Source organism: Homo sapiens, chromosome 19 (genome assembly GCF_000001405.40).
Source record: "Homo sapiens chromosome 19, GRCh38.p14 Primary Assembly".
NCBI lineage: Eukaryota > Metazoa > Chordata > Mammalia > Primates > Hominidae > Homo > Homo sapiens.
This window is the reverse complement of record NC_000019.10, coordinates 9,322,648-9,346,449: the sequence shown is the minus strand read 5'-3', so window position 1 is coordinate 9,346,449 and position 23,802 is coordinate 9,322,648. Positions and strand designations below refer to the sequence as shown.

Sequence of the window (23,802 nt, the reverse complement as noted above, 5' to 3'; positions counted from 1 at the left end):
TGGTCTTTTATAAAAAACTTTGCCAACCTCTGACCTAAAATAGTAAAGACAACTCTGAAAAGAAAAAGCTGGAAGACTAAACTCTATCGGACTTCAAAAGTTATGAAGTTGTCAAGAGAGGGTAGTCTTGGAATAAAAGATAAGTAGCTATATGGAACAGAACAGTTGAGAAGCAGACACACGTATAAAGACAACCAATATTTCAAGAAAGAAGCAAAGGCAATTAAGTGGAGAAAGGATAGTCTTTTCAATAAATGATGCTAGAACAATGAGATACAAAGAAAAAAAAAACCCCAAATTTTGATCCAATCTTTGTGCCATATAAAGATTTTAACTCAAAGTGCACCATGTACTTGTACCACAAGTACAACATATTAAATATATTGTAATACAGATACTCCTCAACTTATGACAGGGCTATGTCCTGACAAACCTATTGTAAGTTGAAACTATCATAAGTTGACAATTTGTAACCCCATCATAAATTGAGAAACATATTGAATGCATAATATGTTTGCACCATTGTAAATTAAAAACAATACTAAGTCAAACTCCATAAATTGGGAAGTGTATTTATGTTACCTCTGTTAAAATGAAATGTTTTATTATATATTTAAATGTACATTATATTAAATATAAAGTATTAATATCAAATACACTAATAGGTTTAATATTAAATATATTACAAATTTTAAACTCTCAAAATTCAATAAATATTGCAAAACCACATGATCGTGCCACGCACTTCAGCCTGGGAGACAGAGTAAAACCCTGTCTCTATATAAAAAAAAATAAAAATAAATAAAAAATAAAGCCAATATAAACAGGCAAAAGATTTGAACAGACTCTTCCCCAAAGGCTTAAAGAAGGCCAGTAAGCACGTGAAACCATGTAAGACATCATTAGTCACTAGGGAAATGCAAATTAAAACCATGAGATACTACTACACACCTATTAAAATGGTCAAAATAAAAAAGACTGACCATACCAATAATTGGCAAGGATGCAGAAGAATTGCAACTCTTATATACTGCTCATGGAAATGTCAAATGGCATAACTACTTGAGAAAGGTTTAGCAGTCTCTTAAAAACTTAAACGTACACTAACATATGATCTGATCATTCCACTCTTAACTATTTAAAGAAACAGAAGCACATGTTTAAAGAATAATCTGCATATGGGTATTCAAGGCAGTTTTAATTGCAATAGCCAAAAGGTAGAAATAACACATGGATAAATAGCTTGTGGTATGCCTTGCAATGGAATACTATTCAGCAGTGAAATGGACCCTACAACATAAATGGATCTGAAAAAATTATCCTGAAAGATGCCAGACTATATGATTCCATTTATATAAAAACTGTACATAATATAAAGTCGTCTATTCTAAGAGAAAGCAAATCAGTGGATCAGGAGAGTGACAGGCAGGGAAGGGTGAGGAGAAGAAGAAATTATAAAAGGGCATGAGGAAACCATCTGGTTTGATAGGTATGTTCATTATCTTGATGGTGTGTATGTACACATATGTGTATGTGTCCAAACTTAAAGTGTATGCTAAAAACATGTGCAGTTTATTACATGGCAATTATATCTCAAACTTACTGAAAGAACCTGCCTCAATAATTCAAACCAAAGATTCTCAGCAACAGTGAAAAAAGATCATTAAATGTACACTTCACCAAAGACTCATAAGCATATGAAAGTGATGTTCAATATCATTAGTCTTTAAAGACATATAGAAAGGCAAACTTAAATAATTTATTTGGTTTTCTTTGCTGGCGTCAATTTTCTTTTTTTTTTGAGACAGGGTCTCATCCTGTTGCCCAGGCTAGAGTGTAGTGGCACGATCAGGGCTCACTGCAACCTCTGCCTCCCTGACCAGGCTCAAGCAATCCTCTTGCCCCAGCCTCCTAAATAGCTGGGACTATAGGCACAAACCAGTACACCCAGTTAATCTTATTTATTCTTTGTCAAGATGAGGTTTCACTATATTGCCCAGGCTGGTCTTGAACTCCTGGGCTCAAGTGATCCTTCTGCCTTGGCCTCCCAAATTGCTGGAATTAAGGTGTGAGCCAGCATGCCTGGCCAGTACCAATTTTCTTGTGTGCAATAAGTGAAAATTTGTACCCCTAAATGTTCCTCAATTCCCTATAACTAAGTTTTTCATTAAAAAACCCTCTGAGGATATTTTAATTTTTTTTTCTTTTTTTGAGATGGTCTTACCATATCATCCAGGCTGGAGTGCAGTGGCGTGATCTGAGCTCACTGCAGCTTCCGCCTCCCGGGTTCAAGCAATTCTGCCTCAACCTCTCGAGTAGCTGGGATTACAGGCACGTACCACCATGCCTGGCTAATTTTTGTATTTTTAGTAGAGATGGGGTTTCACCACGTTGGCCAGGCTGGTCTCGAACTCCTGACCTCAAATGATCCACTCGCTTCGGCCTTTCAAAGTGCTGGGATTACAGGAATGAGCCACTGCACCCAGCCTAAAATTGTTTTAAAGACTAGGGAAGTGTAGTAGTGACAAATGGGGGAAAGAGTGGAACTCCTCAATAATAAAGAGTTCCATCTGTAACCGTGAACAATTGAGATAACTCAGGATCTTCAGACCAGCTAGATATTTTTATTAATGATATATAACCTCTTTAAAACATGTATATTTACCAAAAGCATTCTGATATGGCATTCCTCTAGTGTGACTTTTTGCATGTAAATTAATACAGCCTTTTTGACCTTCCATACAGTCAGGTTCCTCTTCAGTGTGGATGTTTCCTAACGACCAAGTTCAAGGGCTTTCCAACATCTCTTTCACTCATGGGACTTCTCAATGTGTGCTTTGACATGTTCCCAAAGTGGAAGCTAAAAACAAAGAAGAATCTCCACACATTTTACATTCATAAGATTTTTCACACTTGTGAGATCACAGCTGAATATTAAGGTATAAGGCAGAGTGAAAGGTTTCAACACATTCCTTACAGCCAGAGGACGTGCATTTATATCCAATGTGCTCACAAGCTCAGTAAGGCCCGAGGAAAATAATGAAAGCTTTTCCACCTTCCTCACATTCATAGCATTTCTCTCCAGCATGAGTTCAAACAGACTCAGTAAGATGTAAGCATCGACAGGTTTCCTACGTTCAGTTTGTTTCCTAGGATGCACAGACACATGAATAGTAAGGCCTATGGAAGGAGCCAAGATTTTCCCACATTCCTTACATTCATATGTCTTCTCTTCTATTGGAATTGTTAAGATCTGAGACACCAAGGAAGGCTTCCCACATTCCTTATGACTGTGTACATTGCCACTATGAATGAGTACATGTTCAGTAAGTGTGAGGAAGTAGTGGCTTTACCACATTCTTTCCAAGTATCAGCCCCAATTCACACACATTCAGTAAGGCATGAGGAATTACTAAAGGTTTGCCCACATTCCTTATATGGTTTCTCCACACTATGACTTCTTAGATGTCGAATAAGATATGTGGACCGAGTAAAGGCTTTCCCACATTCCTGACATTCAAAGGGCCGTTCACCAGTGTGAGTTCTCATGTGTACTGTAAGGCCTGATGAGATACTGAAGGCTTGCCCACACTTTTGACATTTATATGGCCTCTCCCCTGTATGTATTCTTTTATGTTGACTAAGGTGCGAGGAGTATCTAAAGGCTTTCCCACATTCCTCACATTCAAAAGGCCTTTCTGCACTGTGACTTCTCAAATGTCGAATAAGAAATGAGGATCGAATGAAGGCTTTCCCACACTGTTGACAGTCATAGGGTTTTACACCAGGATGAGTCTGCATGTGACTTTTAAAGGAAGAGGAATTAATAAAGGCTTTTCCACATTCCTTACATTGATAAGGCTTCTCACCAGTGTGAGTTCTCATATGTACAGTAAGATGTGAAGAGTTAGCAAAAGCTTTCCCACATTCCTTACATTCATAAGGCTTTTCTCCAGTGTGAGTTCGCCTGTGTTTTATAAGACCTGATGAATCAGTGAAGGCTTTCCCACATTTGTTGCACTCATACGGTTTTTCTCCAGTGTGAACCCTTATGTGAATGTTGAGTTTTGAGAAACAAGTAAATTCTTTGCCACATTCATTACAAACATAGTGTTTTCCTCTAGTTCTAAGTCTTATATGTTTAGCAAGATCTGGGGAAAAAGCAAAGGCTTTGCCAAATTTCTTATGTTCTATAGGTAACACTCTACTATGAGTTCTTAAATGTTGAGTAAGATATGACGACTCAGTGAAGGGTTTCCCACATGCTTTACATTCATAGAATTTTTCTCCATCTTGAGTTTGCATGTGTACAAAAAGGGCTGTAGAATGAGAAAAGGTTTCGACATACTCCTTATGAGTATATGGTCTCTCTCCACCATAAATTCTTACACATTCTCTGAGGTGTGAGGAGGAAGGTAAGCCTTTTTCACAGTCACTGCATTTATATGGTTTCTCTTGAGTGTGAGTTTTCTTGCAAACAAGATGTAGATTTTGGCTAGTTTTCTTGCAAACAAGATGTAGATGTTGGCTGAAGGCTGTTTCACATTGATTACAGTTAGGAAGTTCCTCTCCGATATCAGTTTTCTTGTGTAAAGTAAAGATAGAGGGTTTTCTGAAGGCTTTTTCACATTGATTACACTCACAGGTTTTCTTTCTAAAGTAAGTTCTCCTGTGAGTCTTAAGGCATGAGTGTTCACTCAAGGCTTTTTCACATTGGTTAAAGTCAAACAGTTCCTCTCCAAAATGGTTTCTCTCCTGTTGGTGAAAATTAATGATGGTTCATAGAAGTTTTCCAAATTTATTTCATTGAGATTCTCCCTTTTACTCTGAATTCTGTTACACATGGAAAATAAGTTAGTATAATTGAAACTGTTTGTTCCTGCCATTTTCATTGCAAGGCATGGTTCAGACCTGAGTGTTTTCAAGTGGAACAAAGTGACTGCAGGAAGTTCTGTTATATTCTTTACTTTCAGAGGGCTTCTAAATAGAGCTTAGCTGATAACGGCCCAAGAGTGAATTATTTATCAAAAACATCTGAGATACATATGGGAATGTTGAAGGAAATATGTAAACAAATATATTCTGAGGGATGTTTAGAGTGTTTGTCAAACTCATGATCCATAGTCTCTCCAAGAGACAGATTATTTTTGGGTGAAAAACACTAGTCTCAAATGTCTCAAGGTTATTGTGCTGCTTTTCCATTTTAAGGAATTTCCAATCTTCCTCTAACATGGAAGACAATAAATTATACCTTCTGAATCTTACCATTTCCACCACACTGGATGTTTTCCCCTGCAAAAAATTCTGCTGAGGTGCTGACCATTTGGTATTAATATGACTCTCCCAATCTGAAATAAGATGAAAAAAATTTTAAGTTCTTAGAGAAATAATGATTTTAAAAAGGGTGTTAAAAATGCAAGACTAGTATGTACTGTAGTTTCAAACACTGGCTTGAAATATAGTTTGTTTTTTTAAAGAACGGGAAACATAAATTGAGAAATTTGGATGTAGTAAGAGTCTAGCAACAGTAAGGTACTGAGGTCAAGTTGGTAGGTGATTCACTAAGAAACGGTTCTCTAGGCTGGGTGTGGTGGCTCACACCTGTAATCCCAGCACTTTGGGAGGCCAAGACAGGTGGATCACAAGGTCAGGAGATTGAGTCCTGGCCAATATGGTGAAACCCCATCTTTACTAAAATACAAAAAAAAAAAAAAAATTAGCCAGGCAAGGTGGCATGCACCTGTAGTCCCAGCTACTCAGGAGGCTGAGGCAGGGGAATCACTTGAACCCGGAAGGCAGAGGTTGCAGTGAGCTGAGATCGCGCCACTGCATTTCAGCCTGGCGATAGAGCAAGACTCTTTTTTTTTTTTTTTTTTTTTTTTAGAGACAGAGAGAGAAAAAAAAGAAATGGTTCTCTAAACATTGAGACTTTATAGTGAACAAAAAAGAGGTACAGCCAGGGAAACAAAGTTGAAAGGAAATGGATACAGAGCTAAATGCAAATCATAAATTTAAAGGAGAAGTGAGACAGATCTTAATGTCAGAGCAAAAGAAAGTTTCCAAGATGGATAAAGTGAAAGAGAAGTTAAGGTACCCAAGGAACCTTGGAAACCAATTGGCCTTGATATTCTCCCCAAAAAAGTACACTTTCAAAACCTTCCTACTTAATATTTATAAACAGACTGCACCTCTCATAGATCAGGGCTGTTTCTCACAAATAATCACATCTGTCTTTTCTCTCATCTTGGAGAATTTTCTGCGCTGTCTTTAACTCTTCTTGTTTCACCTGAAAAGTCAAACTATGTTTGCATAGCTAGTACCCTGGTCTCAGGGAAAGATGAATGATGTTAGAATGTGCAAGGGATGGCTGGGCACAGTGGCTCATGCCGTAATCCGAGCACTTTGGGAGGCCGAGGTGGGCGGATCACAAGGTCAAGAGATCGAGACCATCCTGGCTAACACAGTGAAACCCTGTTCCTACTAAAAATACAAAAAAAAAAAAAAAAAAAAAAAAATAGCCAGGCGTGGTGGTGGGCGCCTGTAGTCCCAGCTACTCGGGAGGCTGAGGCAGGAGACTGGTGTGAACCCGGGAGGCGGAGCTTGCAGTGAGCCAAGATCACGCCACTGCACTCCAGCCTGGGTGACAGAGCAAGACTCTGTCTCAAAAAAAAAAAAAAAAAAAGTAAAGAATGTGCAAGGGATAACAAATGCTTCCATGTTAAGAGCTAAGATTTTGCTGTCTGGGCATTCTGAACCCTCTCAGATATAACTTAAATTACAACACAATGTTCATGACAAAAACTTTCAAGTGAACCTAAACTTCAAATACTCTTTTCTCATTCACTGTTCACCAAAAGGACTAGCAATCCTTCCCATGAAACCCAGGCTTAAGCTCATACACATATTCAAGAAGCTCTAAGTCTTTTATCCATGGAGAAAATAAAGCTAGAACAATGAACAGATCTTCAATTTCATCAGAAAAATCACAAGGCAGTAAGGTCTATGAGATGGAAACAATGTTTCGCCTGTTTACCAATGCAGCCCATTAACAAGCAGAGTCTAGAACATAGTTACTTAAGACACATTTGTTCCAGAAAAAAACTAAATGAAAAGAATGGTACCAGCCTTACCTACTGCAACTAGATTCTTATAGTTCTCCAGCATCACATCTCTGTATAAGTTTCTCTGAGTTTGATCCAGCAAAGTCCACTCCTCCTGGGTGAAGTCCACAGCCACATCCTCAAAGGTCACTGAGTCCTAAACCATCACACACATGCTGGCGTCAGGCAAGTACGTTCTCCACTATGTTGACTGGAGAATGAGGGACCTTGTCTTGGCATGCCTTGACAAGACTCTTTGGTCTCCTATCACTTGATGGTCCTCACTTTCTTCTCCCCTGTCTGTACATATTCACCGGTGATCTCATCTAGTCATATGGCTTGAAGAGCACCTCTTTCACCTAACTGAATATATCTCAGCACAACTAGATTGTGACTTCTTCTTATTGTTCTCTACTGACAGGTTTTAGCACAACCCTGAATACATTATAGACACTCAAATAAATGCTCCAGTGACAGCACAAATTCCGAGAAGCACATGTGCATTCTCTCCCTATCACAGCAAAATGAAAGCATATCAGCATGGATGACAGTCAGACTGAATTAGTAAACAGTGGGATAGTACAATCATTTCCCTGTGAAACCTGTCAACCATGTGAGAGGCCCTGTGGTCCGAAGAAGTTTGATGAGAGATGTGGTCCCTAAGCAGACCCTCTTTGCTTGCAGGGGCCCTGTTCCACTAGGAGAAAACACATCTACATGGTAGGAAGAAGCATATGCTTCTACAGAAAAAGCAATTTCCTACTTACCTGAGAGTAATTTGTCAACCACCCAGCCACCATCCTTTCCTCTTCAAATTTTGACTCATGAAGACAGAAAACATCTTGAGAAAGATGATCTTAAGAAGAAGAAATAAAATCTGAGAATCCAGGCTGCTGATAGCTTCCATACTCACAAGGCAAGAAGCCACCTCATACTAATGCTAAGTGGACACACACACGTTATAATAAAATGCCTGAGCAGCCTGTCTCACCTGAAGCCAGAAAATATGCTTCAGGCTTTGATGACCAGGAGAGAGAGAGTTTAACAATCCCATTTTATAAGGAATACAAAGTCCAGAGAAGTTAACATTTTCCTTATTTGCCAAAAAAGAAACTGATCATGTGATTAAGCAGAACTTCTTCCACAAAAGCCTGCATACTTACTCCTCCTTCCCAAATCCCAGGATTTAGACCACAGAATATTCGTATCTACTTTAGCCTCTTCTAGGTATCTCAAAAGCAGGGCCACTTAGACCCTAAACCCTAATCACAAGACAAGCTGTTCACAGACTGGTTAAAGCAGCGTCTTGAAGGACCATCAATACGGACTTACCACAAAGGGAAAGACCAATGGCCAGCATCCTGTGAGTCTAACAGTGAAATGTGCCTGAATATCTTGTTCCCAAAGTCTCTTCGAGACACTGTCTGAACTTATGGGTAAGTCAATCTCAATTCCTCTTGATTAAGTAGTAGTGGGAGTCTTGCCTCATACCGTCAATCTTTCAGCAACAGGCATTACTCATCTGTCATCAAGCGCCATTCATTAGCCATCTCTCTGCAGAAGATGAAGTTGTTCATGTGAGTGCCACTAGAGTATTATGCCACGTGGACATAAATAATAACAAATCCCGTTTACCTAGTACCCATGTGCCAGAAACAGTGGTAGGATAAGTTCATATAATTATCAAAGCAGTTTTTGTTACTATCATATTAGTTGAGGAAACCTAAGCTCAGACACTAATTAACCCAACATCACCAATTAGAAAGTGTGAGCCAGGATATGAATACAGGTTACTCTGACTCACAAACCTAAACTCCTGAGGTTCTTCTTATTCTCCAACGTGACCATGAGATCGTCATGAAATGATGTACGGAAAGGTTAACTCAACAGGCCTGGGTTGCCCAAACCCTGCACTCTCTTGAGAAAGATCTGTCTTCAGGACTGACACTTGGCTCAGTTTGTGAGAGATGACCTTTTAGCTTATGGAATATCTTCCCTGGTAAGTGTATATTTTTCTATGGTTGAGCTATTGAGCCAAACTATACTAGTGTGACCAGATTGTGTATGCTAACAATATGATTTATGCTGAAGGCCTGTTTTTGTATGCCTGAGGCTTCTGGCAATAATGCATGAGTTTGAACTGTTGAGGGGCTGGGCATAAGTGTATGAAGTCATTCAGGTGCTGTATGCCTACGGGACTAACCCTCAGTAAAAATCCTGGACACCAAAGCTCAGGTGAGCTTCCCTAGTTGGCAACAGTTTGCAGGAATACTACACACTTTTACTAGGAGAATTAAGCACTGTCCATGTGACTACATGGGAGAGAAGCCTGGTTTCTTCTAGACTTCATTCATCTTTTCCCTTTGCAGATTCTAATCTGTACCCTTTTATTATAATAAACCATAACTGTAGGTTTAATAGCTTCTGAGTCCTGTGAGTGCTTCCATCACTGAGCGTGAGGGTGGTGGTCTTGAGGACCCCCAACACAAATGGCTTATTGAATTTAGACATCTTTAGCTCCTCCAGCTGTAAAAATCATGTAGGCCAGGTGGCTTCCCTTCAAGTCCTCATCTCTGGCTTACGCTTTCATTCACTCTGCAAACATTTATGAAGGACCTTATCTTTGTGAGGTAATGTACTAGACACTTAGGATAGAGCAGTCAACTATACAAAAAATGTCCTAGACCTTAAGTATCTCACATTCTAAAGGGCTAAGCAGATAATAAACACATAAGTTTTTTTTTGTTTTTTTTTTGAGATGGAGTCTCGCTCTGTCGCCCAGGCTGGAGTGCAGTGGCGCGATCTTGGCTCACTGCAAGCAAGGTCTGCCTCCCAGGTTCACTCCATTCTCCTGCCTCAGCCTCCCGAGTAGCTGGGATTACAGGCATGCACCACCAACCCCAGCTAATTTTGTATTTTTGGTAGAGACAGGGTTTCCCTATGTTGGTCAGGCTGGTCTCGAACTCCCAACCTCAGGTGATCCGCCTGCCTCAGCCTCCCAAAGTGCTAGGATTATAAGCATGAGCCACTGTGTCCAGCCATAAATATGTATTATGTCAATTGGTGACAAGTACTATGGAAAAAAATAGATGAATGGATAAGTAATATCATCCTCCACCTCCCCTACCACACACACACATATAAATGTATATTTACAGACTCAGAACTGGTTCTGGCAAGAAAATATAAGAAAATAACCATAAGACACTTGAAAACTGACATCTGGCTTCCCTAAAAAAGTTGACACTCAACTTTTTATCCAAAGCAATAGAGTAATAATAATGGTTCACTAAAGAAACTCAGAATACTGCTAAGGCTAAGCCAATTAAGTAATTTCTTTACTTTGCTTTCACATTCAGTCTACAAAAGCCAACTGTGCATGCTGCTACAGCAGAGCCCCCTGAACCCTTCTGGTTTTGGAGTGCTGCCTGATTCACGAATCCTTTAATGCTTAACTATTACGTTTATCTGAAGTTTTTCTTTTAATATTCATAGGTCCTAGCAGAGGGTAGAAAATATTTGGGGTGTGACTCATGCCTGTAATCCCAGCACTCTGGGAGGCCAAAGCAGGCAGATCACTTGAGCTCACAAGTTTGAGACCAGCCTGGGCAACATGGTAAAACCCCGTCTCTACAAAAACCACAAAAATTAGCCAGGTGTGGTGGTACGTGTCTGTAGTGCCAGCTACGTGGGAAGGTGGCTTGAGCCTGGGAGGCAAAGGTTGCAGTGAGCTGAGATCACGCCACTGCATGCCAGTCTGGGCGATAGAGCCAGACCTTGTCTCAACAAAAAAAGAAGAAAAAAGAAAATGTATGGGGTGGATGAAATGCTGAATCACACATTGTGCAAAAGTTTGTCTATTTTATATTTTTCTGGGGGTATGGGGGAGACAGGGCTGCACTCTTCCCAAGGCTGGAGTGCAATAGTAGGATCAAGCTCACAGCAGCCTTGAACTCCTGGGCTCAAGCAATCTTCCTACCCCAGCTTTCTGAGTAGCTAGGACTTCAGGCAAAAGCCACCACCACACCCGGCCAATTAAAAATTTTTTTGGCAGAGATTGGTGGTGGGGCTGGAATGGAGAAGGGGTTCCTCGCAATGTTGGAAAGGCTGATCTTGAACTCCTGGGCTCAAGCGATCCTCCCGCCTTGACCTCCCAACGTGCTGGATTACCGGTGTGAGCCACCATGACCAGCTAATTTTTTTTTTTTTTTTTTGAGACAGAGTCTCGCTCTGTCACCCAGGCTGGAGTGCAGTGGCATGATCTCGGCTCACTGCAAGCTCCGCCTCCCGCGTTCACGCCATTCTCTTGCCTCAGCCTCCCGAGTAGCTGGGACTACAGGCGCCCACCACCATGCCTGGCTAATTTGTTTTGTATTTTTAGTAGAGAAGGGGTTTCACCATGCTAGCCAGGATGGTTTCGACCTCCTGACCTCGTGATCCGCCGGCCTCAGCCTCCCAAAGTGCTAGGATTACAGGCATGAGCCACCCCGCCTGGCCATGACCAGCCAATTTTATACTTCTAAAAAACCTATCTCTTGGGTTTACTCATCAGTTTTACTTTTTTTCCCATTAAATGTTGCTTTTAGTGTTATGTTTTCTTTATACTCATTTTGCTAATCTCTTTCAAACACCTGGAAATGACATCTGAATTTTTTAAACATTTAATTGAAATATATATTCACAAAAGAGTAGAATTACAAAGGTATAATGCATCATTAATTTCTACACCTTGATGCACACATGACACATCTAAATCATTGCCCCTCTTCGCAAATGGAAACTATTCTCACTTCTAACGGTATAGGTTAATTTTGTCTGTTTTTAAACTTTATAAATGAAATCATCTATTCATTTATGTCTAGCTTTTTTGATTCAACATTATGTTTATGAGTCATCCATACTGTTACACATATAGTTCTTTTCCTTTTACCGAAAAGCACTCCATAATACAGGTTGAATATCTCTAATCTGAAAATCTGAAATCCAAAATGCTCCAAAAAACCTTTTTGAGCACAGATATGACACTCAAAGGAAATGCTCACTGAAACATTTTAAATTTCTGAAGTATAATGCAAATATTCCAAAATCTGAAGAAATCTGAAATCCAAATGACTTCTGGTCCCAAGTATTTCTGACACTTAACCAGTATAGCATGGTTTATTCATGTATTCTTGTAGACAGACATTTGAGTTGCTTAATTCTGGGCTATTTCAAATAATGATGTTATATGGTCGCATTTAAGGGTATATCCTTACATTCAAATTTGGAACACAATGCCAAACTGTTTTTCAAAACATATTTCTACTTTACACACTAAAAGTATACACAAACTCTAGTTTCTCTAAATTCTCTTCAACATCTCGTAACTCTTTTTGGATTTAGCCATTCTGATATATGTGTAGTGGCAGATTTAATTTCCATTTGCCTGATTATTGATGAGGATAAAAACTTCAATTTTTCATGTTTATTATCCATAGTACAGTCAGTTTTGCGAAGAGCCTGCTCAAGCCTCTTAATTTTTCTATTGGATTGTTTGAATTTTTGGAATTAACGTGTAAGAGTTCTTAATGTATTTTGGATATTAGCCTTTTTTTTTTTGTCAGTTACATACGTAGGAATTATCTCCTCTTATTCTCAGGCTTGTTTCTGGGTGGGGGTGGGGGACAGGGCCCTGTTCTGTTGCCCAGGATGAGGTGCAGTAGGCACAATCTTGGCTCACTGCAGCCCTGACCTCCTGGGCTCAAGCAATCCTCCTGCCTCAGCATCCCAAGTAGCTAGGAGAAGAAGCATGTGCCACCATGTCCAGCTAATTCTTTAGTTTTCTGTAGAGATGGGGTCTTGCTATGTTGCTCAGGTGGGACGCAAGTGATTCTCCTGCCTTGGCCTCCCCAAGTGCTGGGATTACAGGTGTGAGCCACTACGCCTAGCTTCCTTTGGAATTATTTTTAACTTCATTAAAAGAAAAAACACTAGGGAATTTGGCAGGATATAGTTAAATTATATATGTATTTACCCTTTGACTTAGAAGTCCCATTTCTAAAAATCCTCCTGGATGCATAACTCTACAAATATCTATTTTTAAAATTTTCTGGCTGGGCATGGCGGCTCATGCCTGTAATCCTAGCACTTTGGCATGCTGAGGTAGGTAGATTGCTTGAGCCCAGCCTAGGCAACACACGGTGAAACCCTGTCTCTACCAAAAAATACAAATCTTCACCAGGTATGGTAGCACTCACCTATACTCCAAGCTATTCAGAAGACTGAGGTGGGAGCAACACCTGAGCCTAGGGAGGTCAATGCTGCAGTGAACCGTGATCTCACCACTGTACTCCTGCCTGGGCAACAGAGTAAGACCTTGTCTCAAAAATCCAACAAAACAAAAACCAAGATACATTTTCTCATACATTCATATTAGAATGTAGAACTTCCAAGGGTTGATCCTTCTCTCTTAAAACACAAGCCACATAACTACAAAATCATACCTTTTAAAAATACCTCAGAGAGCCAAGAATGCAGATACACCTAAATAATAAGCTTTGCTAAGAAAGAAGATACCCATGATTTTTCTCAATCTTGGATGAGTGATGAGAGAAAGAATCTGCCACACATGAAGGTATAAAGAAATCATAATTAAATCTTACCAAAATTTGACAGCAGAGTGTGGACTGATTGACCACATTAGAATTCTGAGACATCTCAGTTACAGAATTCACAGTGATGAATCCATCCACAGACTTTCACCAAGCCTTCACCTAATATTAGACCATAGTATATCAAAGGCTGGGATAAGGCAGGATCACTGAGGTGCATGTAGCCTCCCTGATGACCGAGGCAACCATCCCCCCAAGGCAAGTGGCAGGGCAAAGGGGTGAAGATAAATCCATTTAAGGTACTCTGGGCCCTCAGCTATCACAGGCTGGTTGCAGAGCAGAGAGTTAACACAAACCCTCAATAAAATTTTAGCAAAATGAATACAGTGATATATATATATATACACACACACATACATATGTATACCTCTATATATGAAAAGATAATACATCAAGTTAGAACATATCCCAGAAATGCCAGATTGATATTCAAATGTAAATTAATTTAATGCAACATATTAGCAGGCCAGAAAATCAGATGATCTCATGAGATGCAGAAAAGGAATTTGACAAAATTCATTAACCATGATTGTTTTTAATGAAGTTCAATAAGCCCAAGAAAAATTTTCAGCCTAATAAAGGGCATCTACAAAAACGCCAAAGCTAACATTATACTTTAAGGTAACAAAAACGACTGCTTTTTAACTGTATTACAAATGAATAACAAAACCATATTGAAAGATAAAAATAACTCATCTAAGTGATTTTGGAAAACAGTATTTTGAACATATAATCTAAGCCTAAATATAAAAGAATGACACAAAAATAACTCAGTTAATAAATCTGTTTTCCACAGGGGTCTGAATTAGCAATTCAGAACTACTTTATTTGTATTTTAAGATTCAATAAGTAATATATCATAAAAAATGTCAGTAAAATGGCAGAGTAGGAAGCCCTACCTCTCTGTTCACTCATGGAAACACATAGTAACAATACTGGAACCAAAATACCTTGAAGAGAAATCCATAATCAAGCTAATAATTGCAAGCAACCCTAGAGGAGCACAAACTGAGAACAGTTGCATTTATACCAGTAAGAACAATTTTCAACTTACCCTCATCAGCCCTTCTGCAAAACCAGCTCAGCTCAGTTGTGCTGACTTTATATCTTTTTGATAAATTGGTCTCTTTATTATTATATAATGCCCTTTGTCTCTTGTCACAATTTTTGTCTTAAAGTCTATTTTGTGTGATGTAAGAATAGGGGCTCCTGCTGTCCTTTGGTTATCATTTGCATGGAGTATCTTTTTCTAACCCTTGACAATTTAGTCTGTGCCCCTTAAAATTAAAATGAAGTTAAAAATAATTCCAAAGGAAGCTAGGCGTAGTGGCTCACACCTGTAATCCCAGCACTTGGGGAGGCCAAGGCAAGAGAATCACTTGCATCCCACCTGAGCAACATAGCAAGACCCCATCTCTACAGAAAACTAAAGAATTAGCTGGACATGGTGGCACATTATTTCTTCATGGGAAGAAGTGAGATTGGCTACTTGACCTCCTGACCTCTCAGAGGGTTCTCCAAGGGGCCAGTAGCCATCTTGCCTCATACTAAGGTGCTGATCATCTGAGAAAGAAATGAGGCAGACATCCTCTTACATCTGCTCTGTATGACTGAGAAAAATCACAAACAGAGGCTTTTCTGTGGAGAGAGAGAGAAGAGAAGGTGTGCTTGTCATCAACCTTATGGTATACTTCTGTAGGGGTCAGTCCTGATCTTGTCTCATATGGAGCACTGCTAATGGATGAACGTCTTTCCCAGTCAAGACTAAGCCATAAAGACTGAGAGAAATACCTACTACTTCAGTGCACAGACAGCAAAGCAAACCTACAAATAGCATGAAGAATCAAGAAGAAACTATGACACAAAGAAAACAAATATTCAGTAGCCAACCCAAAAGAAATGGAGACCTGTGAATAACCTGAGAAGGAAGTCATAACAATCATCTTAAAGATCAGTGAGTTAAATGACAGCAGAGATACATAACTATAGGTCAGGAAAATAATACATGAATGAAGTGAGAAATTCAACCCAGAGATTGAAATGATAAAGAACAAAAGAGAAATACTGGAGTTGAAGAGTACAATAATTGAACTAAAATATTAACTAGAGGGGTCCAAGAGCAGACATCATCAAACAGAAGAATCAACAAAATAAAAAATAGATTATAGTCAGTCAGAGGAACAAAAAGAAAAAACAATGAAAAAGAGTGAAGAAAGCCTAAAGAACCTGTGGAACTCTGCCAAGTGAACAGAAACATTAAAGAAGTTACAGAGGGAGCAGAGAGAGAAATGAGTAGAAAGCCTATATAAAGAATAGCTATAAATTTTCCACATCTAGGGAGACAGAGGCACCCATATTCATGAATCTCAAAGCCCCCAACAAGGTTCAACTGAAAGAGATCTAAACTAATACACATTATAGTGAACTTGTCAAAAGTCAAAGACAGAGAATTTTGAAAGCAGCAAGAGAAAAATGACTTACTACATACAAAGGAATCTCCATAATACTACCCTTTGATTTCTCAGCAGAAACCTTGCAAACCAGGAGAATGGAATATTCAAAAAGTCATCAATCACAAAGGAAGACTGCAAGAGAAGACAGGAATAAAAACTACAAAACAGCCAGAAAACAATGAAGTAAATGGTAATAACAAGTCATCATCTATCAACAATTACTTTAAATGGATTAAATTCCCCAATGAAAAGACACAGAATGGCTGAATATGGTTAAAACAAACAGGTGGGGCACGGTGGCTCACACCTGTAATCCCAGCACTTTGGGAGGCCGAAACAGGGAGATGCCAAGGTTAGGAGTTCGAGACCAGCCTTGCCAATATGGTGAAACCCCGTTTCTACTAAAAATACAAAAATTAGCCAGGCATGGTGGCACATGCCTGTAGTTCCAGCTACTCAGGAGGCTGAGACAGAAGAATTGCTTGAACCCGGGAGGTGGAGGTTGCAGTAGGCCAAGATCACGCCACTGCATTCTAGCCTGGGCAACAGAGTGAGACTCTGTCTCAAAACAAACTAAACAAGATCCAACTATCTCCTGGCTACAAGAGACTCGTTTTAATTTTAAGGGGCACAGACTAAATGTCAAGGGTTAGAAAAAGATATTCCATGCAAATGATAACCAAAGGACAGCAGGAGCCCCTATTCTTACATCACACAAAATAGACTTTAAGACAAAAATTGTGACAAGAGACAAAGATCATTATATAATAAATGGACCAATTTATCAAAAGGATATAGAAGTTTTAAGTACATATACACCAATATATTTAGGGAGCTCATCATACATAAAGCAAATATTAATGGATCTGAAAGAAGAAAAAGCAATATGATAACAGTAGGGGACTTCAACACTCCACTTTCAACAATGACTGGATCACCCAGACAAAATAGTAATAAGAAAATAGTGACCTTGAAAAACAAAGACTAACTACAAAAATCAATCATATTGTATATAAATATAAAAGAAATTAAAAACTATGGCACCACATATGCTCAAGGTCATTCCATTTATGAAACAGGAATAATAAACTATGATTTTTAAACAGCTGTATTGGGTAAGCACAAGAATAATAAAGAAAAGTTTAAAACTTCAAACCCCCAGCCCAAAAAACAAAAAAACACAGCTGCACAGTCACCACAAAAAGAACAAAGCAGTTCTAATGACTTTTTTGAGTTGTTGCTTTTTTACACACTGTGAAACTTTGTTCTCTAAAATCAGTTATTAGAAATTTGCTGTTTGAAATTCTATCAGTAAGAAATATCAGAAAGACTGAAATATCCCACTTTCACCTGGAGGGCTTATGTAATATTTTGACACCAAGAAGAAGTATCCATTTACAACCCAGGTGCTGAGTTTCAAAGAAAAGACTTCTGACACAACATTCCACATCTACTCAAATTTACTGTTTTCCAAGGAAATGCGACACCGTGTTGTTTGCACCCAGATACGGATGATGACCCCTTTATACAGCCCTACTTTGCGCTGAGACTATCAAAATGCTGATGCATTTAGGCCAGGCGCAGTGGCTCATGCCTGTAATCCCAGCACTTTAGGAGGCTGAGGCAGGTGGATCACCTGAGGTCAGGAGTTGAGACCACCTGAGGTCAGGAGTTGAGACCAGCCTAGCCAACATGATGAAAGCTCGTCTCTACTAAAATACAGAAATTAGTGAGGTGTGGTGGCAGGAGCCTGTAATCCCAGCTACTCAGGAGGCTGAAGCAGGAGAATCACTTGAACCCGGGAGGTGGAGGTTGCAGTGAGCCGAGATTGCGCCACTGCACTACAGCCTGGACAAGAGCAAAAACTCCGTCTCAAAAAAAAAAAAAAAAAAAAAAAAGACAAACAAGCCTAATAGTATGTCAAATTCATAACATAACCACACAGAGAAAAAAACTGAGTTCAAGCAAATGTTTGAACTTTATATCCTTAGTAAGGACAAAAAGAAATATAAAGAAACTCAATACTAAATAAAGTAATGGTAGTAATACTAGTCATCTGGTAATGTTGCTACAACAAATAATATATCAGTGTCATTAGGAGTCAAGGTCTTTATTATAAGAGATAAGAGATACAAACATAAGGAAAAACAAAAAACCTCTTAAGTTTGTAATAGGAATATGAGTATAAATGTATGATGTAAGAAAATACATATTCTAGATGTCCACTGTAAGGCCATAGATGTCCACTGTGGGCCTATCACACAGACCTTAGTGTCTAAAAGGAACATGACTTTTTGGAGCAATCATTGATTCCAGGTCTGTAAGAGGAAAATACAAAGTGAACTGGGGTCTGATTTTGCACTCAGATTAGTAGAGTTGTGTCACAAGACACAGAGCCAAATTTAAAAATTACCATTGGTCAAAATTGGGACAGTTTGAGCATCAATACGAATGACAGGAATTGATTATAATACAGTGAATGAAAAGAAAAAAAAATTAGAATAAGTTGTGACATTCCAAAAAAGAAAAAAAGTATAGAGGGCAGTGAAAGTGGTGAAAGAAAGCTCCTCTTCACCTAAGACTGTCAGCTAAAGAATGGAGAAAGAACAACAGAACTAGGAAAAAAAACTGTTAACCTCTCAATGTAAAAACAGGTTCAGGAGAAGATGACTGAGTGATGTTAAAAGCCACTGGGTGAGGCCAGGCGCGGTAGCTCATGCCTGTAATTCCAGCACTTTGGGAGGCCGAGGCGGGAGGATCACCTGAGGTCAAGAGTTCGAGACCAGCCTGACCAACATGGGTGAAACCCCTTCTCTACTAAAATTACAAAAATTAGCCAGGCGTGGTGACCCACATCTCTAATCCCAGCTACCCAGAAGGCTGAGACAGGAGAATCACTTGAACCGGGGAGGCGGAGGTTGCAGTGAGCCAAGATCACGCCACTGTACTCCAGCCTGGGCGGCAGAGTGAGACTCCGTCAAAACAAAAACAAAAACAAAAAAAAACAAAACAAAACAAAACCAAAAAAACCACTGGGTGAAAGGCTGTTGGGGAACAGAATATTCCCCTGTAGCCAAAGTATCACTTATAGATTACTATAAGAAAAACATGACTATACAGAGATGAGTACCTTGACCAAATGCGTAGTATCACTAACAAACTTGTAGTATGTGACTACTGATAGGATATAATATGAAGCCCAGTACATTACCTAGAAAATGGAAGCCTTGGATCTGGCCAGTCTAACTCAACAGCCACTAGCCCCATGTGGCTAGTGCAACTGAGGAAATGAATTCTTAATTTTATTTACTTTTAATTCAACTTTAAAAATAAAATTGTTATTGAAAAACTTTTAAGTATGTTTGGAACAACCTGGGTTTGTTAATCTACTTTTTCAATAGTTAATTTTATAAACTCTAAATACAGATCAAGAATTTCCAATGAAAATTAGCTGTAAGTGTAAAATACGTGCAGGATTCCAAAGACTTAGTACAAAAGAAGTGTGAAATGTCTCAGTTTTAAACTGACTACATTAGTCACTAATTTCAAAAACTTATATTGATAACTGGATATGCTGCATTTTTAATATATTAAAAATGATATCACACATACATTTAACATTTTCTAATTTGGCTACTAAAATTTTTAAAAATTACATCTGTGCCTTGCATTATATTTGTATTAGACAGTACCACTGTAACCCCAACATCCACTTTACAAGAAATACAGGACATAGGTAAATCAAATAAAATCACAGGAAAACATCATTGCATGAGAACGGCAGCATTTTACAAGATAATGCTCCTGAAATCTTCAAAGGCCAAAATTTTATTTTTAAAAATTCAGGTGAATGGCGGGGCATGGTGGTTCACGCAGTACTTTGGGAGGCCAAGGCCGGCAGATCACGAGGTCAGGAGTTCGAGACCAGCCTGGCCAACACGGTGAAACCCTGTCTCTACTAAAAATACAATTAGCCGGGCGTGGTGGCACACGCCTGTAATTCCAGCTACTTGGGAGGCTGAGTCAGGAGAATCGCTTGAACGCAGGAGGCAGAGGTTGCAGTGAGCTGAGATCACACCACTGCACTCCAGCCTGGGACAGACAGACTCCGTCTCAAAAAAAAAAAAAAAAAAAAAAAAAATCAGGTGAATAGTCTAGTTAAAAAACAGATTTAACAGATCTAAAAACATGCAAACAACCTGGCAACTATAATGGTGACTATGGTGACTTTTGGACAGCTGGGGAAATCTGATTTGATTTGGGGGTGGGGATGGACAATGAAGTCTTGTTTTAAGCTTGTCTTCACTTTCAGGAGGTATTTGAGATACACGCTTAAAAGGGGAAAGTTCATTCACTTCCAATTTAAATGGCTCATGATAAAGTACATATACAAAAAAATGAAACAAATCTTAACAACTAGTGAATGTAGTTAAGGGTTAAAGACTTTTTTTTTTTTTTTTGGAGACGGAGTCTCGCACTGTTGCCCAGGCTGGAATGCAAGGGTGCAATCTTGGCTCACTGCAACCTCTGCCTCCCAGGTTCAAGCGATTCTCCTGCCTCAGGCTCCTGAGTAGCTGGGATTACAGGTGCCCACGCCCGGCTAATTTTTTGTATTTTGAGTAAAGACGGGGTTTCACTATGTTGGCCAGGCTGGTCTCAAACTCCTGACCTCGTGATCCGCCAGCCTCAGCCTCCCAACATGCTGGGATTACAGGCGTGAGCCACCACACCTGGACTAAAGACATTTGTTTTACTCGAGCTACAGATGTTCTCTAGATCAGTATTTGTTTTTTTTTCTTCTTTTTGAAACAGGGTCTCACTCTGTTGCCTAAGCTGGAATGCAGTGACACAATAATGGCTCACAGCAGCCTCGACCTCCCATGCTCAAGTGATCCTCGCATCTCGGCCTCCAAAGTGGATGGGACCACAGACACCACCATGCCCAGCTAATTTTTTATTTTTAGTAGAGACAGAGGCTTGCCCTATTTTTTCCAGGTTGGCATCAAATTCCTGGGCTCAAGCGATCCTCCAGCCTCAGCCTCCCAAAACGCTGGGATTACAGGTGTGAGCCACCTTGCCCCGCCCTCAGTAAGACTTTCAAATGAGTAACTGGTAGAAAACCCACCTGTCAAAAGTTATCTTCGCATTCATTATCAATTCAATCCCTCCTGCTAGTAAATCAGCCCGCACCGTGTTCCTGGGGATGCCCTCGTTTTGAACCTCTGGGGGAATCTACAGGGCGCTAGAGTGAGATCTAGGTGATGGCCTGGAACCACAGTTGAGTAGTCCTGTGTTTTTCCTTGGTGGTAAATTTTACAGTTATGTGCATTCATCCACTCATGCATTCGATGGTATCAGATCCATGTGCTCTCGAACAACCACCTGAAAAGGTTTCTTTCCACCTCGACACAACTTAAACTTCAAGACCCGACACCCACAGCCAGAACAAGTGCATGAAGTGCTCACCGGGACACGACAGAATTGTCAGGTTGCTGAGGCCAGGAGGACACCAAGCGAAGGTCACCGTGAACAGGAAGGCAGAGATGCTGTTCCTTATAGAGAAAAGGCACAACGCTGGATGTGGAGACTTTTTTTTTTTTTTCCATTAGAGATGGTTGGGGGGGGGGGTCTCCCTATGTTGCCCTGCCTGGTCTTGAACTCCTGGCCTCAAGTAATCCTCCTACCCAATCCGCCCAAAGCGCTGGGAATGACAGGCGTGAGCCGCCGCGCCGGGCCCTATGAGGCTTCTGCAGAGGGGAGCAGGGAAAATGGAAAGGCCGTGCCCCCCGCCTCCTCCCGGGCCGAGGCCCCAGCGCAGCCGCCTCGACCCCTGAGGACAGACCTGACTGTGGCTCTCAGAGGAGGGGCCGCGACTTGGGAGAGCCCACAAGATGCTCGAAATGCCCGAAAGTGCACGGGACAGGCTCCATTTCACTGGGCACCTCCCCTTTCCACCCTTCTACTCTCGCGTGGCTGCACCGGGACACCACCGAACGCCGCCCAGAAACAAAAACTTACCTCAGACGCCAACGGGAACGCGCTGTTAAGATGGCGGCCGTTATGCGCATGCGCCCACGCAGACACGCCGCGCACGCGCAAAGGCTAGGACCACCTAGGGGGCGGGGCCTCGGGTTCCCGGGCCCATCAGCTGCTGCGGCTTTTTCCAACCCAGAGCTGAGAGGAAATGCTGTTTACCTCCCCGAAGAGCGCAAGTGTCACCGGTAGGGGGTCTTGACTGCAAGCTGTCCAGGTTACTGGCGTTTTGAACAAAGAATTAGACAAAACGCCCAGCAAAGCAAAGAAAGAATGAAGCAACAAAAGAACAAGAGCTGGGATTTGTTGAAAACGAAAGCATACTCCACAGTGTGGGAACTGGCCAAGCGGCAGCTCAAGGGCTCCGAAACAGAACCTTCATGAGTCCCAATACCTCCTAGAATTTTCCCATTGGCCACTTCATGCTCACCTCCTGTAAATGAAGCGGTAGCCCGCGTTCAGTCTGATTGGTTGCAGAAAGCAGCCAACCAGAGTCTGAAGTTACAAAGGTCACACTCCTGTGCAAACATCTGATTGGTTGCAAAAAGCAACCAATCAAAGGCTAGGGTGAAGTTACGACGTTACAAAGTTACACTTCTATGCAAATGAAGACTCAACCGGCCATCAGTCTGATTTGTTGCAGACAGCCAATTTCCTATCTGCCAGCAGAAAAGGTCAAAGGGAGTAGCCTCTGGTCCTTTTGTTATTTAGGCGAGGAAAGTGAGGGTTTTCCTTTCAATTTAGTTCTAGGAAGTCGGCCTGAAACAGCCTTAAGTTCCCTGCCTCCCGACTCTATTCAGCCTCACAAGGGCTTGATTTTTGGTCATCTCACACTCAGAGACTAGAATGCTCCTATTGGAATTTGTTCAAAAATTAGCACATAGAGGCTGGGCCTGATGGCTCACGCCAGTGATCCCAGCACTTTGGGAGGCTGAGGCAGGCAGACCACTTGAGCTCAGGAGTTCGAGACCAGCCTGGGCAATATGGCAAAACCCTATTCCTATAAAAAAGACAAAAAACACAAAAATTAGGACGTAGTTAAGAGCATAGATAAGATTCATGCGGACTTCCTAAAAGTGAAAACACCAAGATCTGGGGTCGGGGAATCTAAGGCCAATTCGTGATAATTTCCTAAAGTTAAATCAAAGGAAAAACACCTGGGGCTGGGGGCAGGGCACCTAAGGCCAATTAACACAAACTTCCTGAAGCTAAACCAAAAGGAAAAACCCCATCTCCCCAAGATCAAAGACTACTCTCTCTACAGTAAAAAGTAAAGTAGAGGTTCCTCTTCAAAGACTTTCCTGCCCATCTAATTAGGAATAAATAGTAACTTCTGTTAGAAGCAAAATTTATTCAAAGACCTGTACTAATGTGTCCGGAATTGGTGGGTTCTTGGTCTCACCGACTCCAAGAATGAAGCCGGGGACCCTCGTGGTGAGTGTTACAGATCTTAAGGTGGCACGTCTGGAGTTTGTTCCTTCTGATGTTCGGATGTGCTCGGAGTTTCTTCCTTCTGGTGGGTTCGTGGTCTTGCTGGCTCAGGAGTGAAGCTGCAGACCTTCGCGG

The 23,802-nt window shown here is 40.6% G+C and overlaps 2 protein-coding genes across 11 annotated transcripts in view, besides 2 other annotated features; both read right to left on the bottom strand.

Annotated features, from left to right (window-relative positions):
- Positions 1-22,271, bottom strand: part of ZNF559-ZNF177 (ZNF559-ZNF177 readthrough) — a 58,439-nt gene extending 36,168 nt beyond the window's left edge. Inside the window, exons 1-6 of one of the 3 annotated variants that reach the window (NM_001384659.1) lie at positions 22,222-22,271; positions 21,670-21,755; positions 8,433-8,654; positions 7,868-7,956; positions 7,131-7,257; positions 5,266-5,348 (exon numbers count right to left, since the gene is read on the bottom strand). The gene's annotated coding sequence lies outside the window, so the exon portion shown is untranslated. Of the gene's footprint in view, positions 1-5,265; positions 5,349-7,130; positions 7,258-7,867; positions 7,957-8,432; positions 8,655-21,669; positions 21,756-22,045 lie in introns of those variants that run through there. The other 2 variants (NM_001172650.3, NM_001202425.1) reach the window with 2 other exon arrangements.
- ZNF559 (zinc finger protein 559) lies at positions 579-22,678 on the bottom strand. Of its 8 annotated transcripts, none has more exons than NM_032497.3 (7): positions 22,222-22,271; positions 21,670-21,755; positions 8,592-8,654; positions 7,868-7,956; positions 7,131-7,257; positions 5,266-5,348; positions 579-4,755 (listed from the first exon to the last, which is right to left on the bottom strand). In NM_032497.3, the coding sequence occupies exons 4-7, from the start codon at positions 7,898-7,900 to the stop codon at positions 3,382-3,384; spliced, it is 1,617 nt and encodes a 538-aa protein (NP_115886.1). In that variant the 5' UTR covers positions 7,901-7,956; positions 8,592-8,654; positions 21,670-21,755; positions 22,222-22,271; the 3' UTR covers positions 579-3,381. The 8 variants fall into 8 exon arrangements, with proteins under 8 accessions (NP_115886.1, NP_001189336.1, NP_001189341.1 ...); NM_001202412.2 differs by having other exon boundaries at positions 2,605-4,833; positions 22,046-22,271; NM_001202411.2 differs by lacking the exon at positions 8,592-8,654 and adding an exon at positions 13,337-13,435 and having other exon boundaries at positions 2,605-4,833.
- Positions 21,868-22,007: a silencer, noted in NCBI's record as "silent region_10038". NCBI's record gives its function as "represses an Ori minimal core promoter by ATAC-STARR-seq in GM12878 lymphoblastoid cells {active_cell/tissue: GM12878}" and the evidence as "EXISTENCE:reporter gene assay evidence [ECO:0000049][PMID:35858748]".
- Positions 22,178-22,427: an enhancer, noted in NCBI's record as "active region_13928". NCBI's record gives its function as "activates an Ori minimal core promoter by ATAC-STARR-seq in GM12878 lymphoblastoid cells {active_cell/tissue: GM12878}" and the evidence as "EXISTENCE:reporter gene assay evidence [ECO:0000049][PMID:35858748]".
- Positions 22,679-23,802: the final 1,124 nt, after the last annotated feature.